This window comes from Homo sapiens, chromosome 15 (assembly GCF_000001405.40).
Source record: "Homo sapiens chromosome 15, GRCh38.p14 Primary Assembly".
Taxonomy (NCBI): domain Eukaryota; kingdom Metazoa; phylum Chordata; class Mammalia; order Primates; family Hominidae; genus Homo; species Homo sapiens.
This window is the reverse complement of record NC_000015.10, coordinates 38,129,625-38,130,637: the sequence shown is the minus strand read 5'-3', so window position 1 is coordinate 38,130,637 and position 1,013 is coordinate 38,129,625. Positions and strand designations below refer to the sequence as shown.

The 1,013-nt window shown below is 46.8% G+C and overlaps 2 annotated features.

Annotated features, from left to right (window-relative positions):
- Positions 317-446: an enhancer, noted in NCBI's record as "active region_9200". NCBI's record gives its function as "activates an Ori minimal core promoter by ATAC-STARR-seq in GM12878 lymphoblastoid cells {active_cell/tissue: GM12878}" and the evidence as "EXISTENCE:reporter gene assay evidence [ECO:0000049][PMID:35858748]".
- Positions 577-626: an enhancer, noted in NCBI's record as "active region_9199". NCBI's record gives its function as "activates an Ori minimal core promoter by ATAC-STARR-seq in GM12878 lymphoblastoid cells {active_cell/tissue: GM12878}" and the evidence as "EXISTENCE:reporter gene assay evidence [ECO:0000049][PMID:35858748]".

Sequence of the window (1,013 nt, the reverse complement as noted above, 5' to 3'; positions counted from 1 at the left end):
TTAGCCTTATTCCAGAATCTCCCAGGGAAAGGCCTGGGAATCTCCATTTTTAACAGTTACTACAGATGAGTCTTTATAATCAGCCTCAGCTCATCTGTATGCCCGTTATACGTCACACCAGGCGAAGAAGAAGCAAGCTTTAAAGGAAACCTAGCCAGGGAACTGAGGCGAAAAGAGTGTATCTACAGAACGATTTGCTTTTACAAGCCCATGTGAGAAAGACGAAAGAGTAGGACAAGGAGATCCGGACTCTAGTTCTGGCTCTGTGTTTCCAGATCTGTGCGAGCATGGACAGGTCAGTGAAACTCCCCTGGTGGCATTCTCATCATCTTAAAAATAAAAGTGATTAGATCATCTCTTTCAGTTCTGTGATTCAATGAATTATTTCTGTGATTTCACAGAAATGCCAAGATGGGCTCAGAAAATCTCTTTTCCTGAAAATGACAGCGGGTGCAGTCACGGAGGTGTGGGCTGACTTGTTTGGGGTTGTGGGAAGACAATGGAGACAAGTGGCAGCCGGGAGGTTTGGGGCCATGGCCGCAAGGAGATTTCTCCCCTCCCTTCTCTCTTAAGGCTCTGCAGCTGGCCTACTTATGCAAAGGCTTTGGTTCCTCTTTCCTTTTTAAAAGCTTTTCTGATTCGTACATTCCCCTGAGGAGCAGAGATTCATCATTTTGCGGAGAACTTGCACACGCTTTCCTGAAAGGAAGAAAGGAGGGAGGGATGGGAGGGGTTGGGTGGATTAGTGAGTAGGCTAGGGTTGGTTGCCAAAGAAATGAGTCTCTCCATGTGTGATAAACATATAACCATCACATTGTTGGCTCTGAATATGCCCAGCAAAACCCTTTGTCCCACTTCCACAATGCCTAGAAGTGTGTTCTCGTTAGTGGACTGGACATCCGCCTACGCATCTGTCTCTGGAGCATTTGGGCATTCTTCCACCCCAGAACAAGTGGGGGTGAGTGAGGAGAAGGAGGAGTGAGTCATGACTGTAGGAAAAGGATGTCTTATGA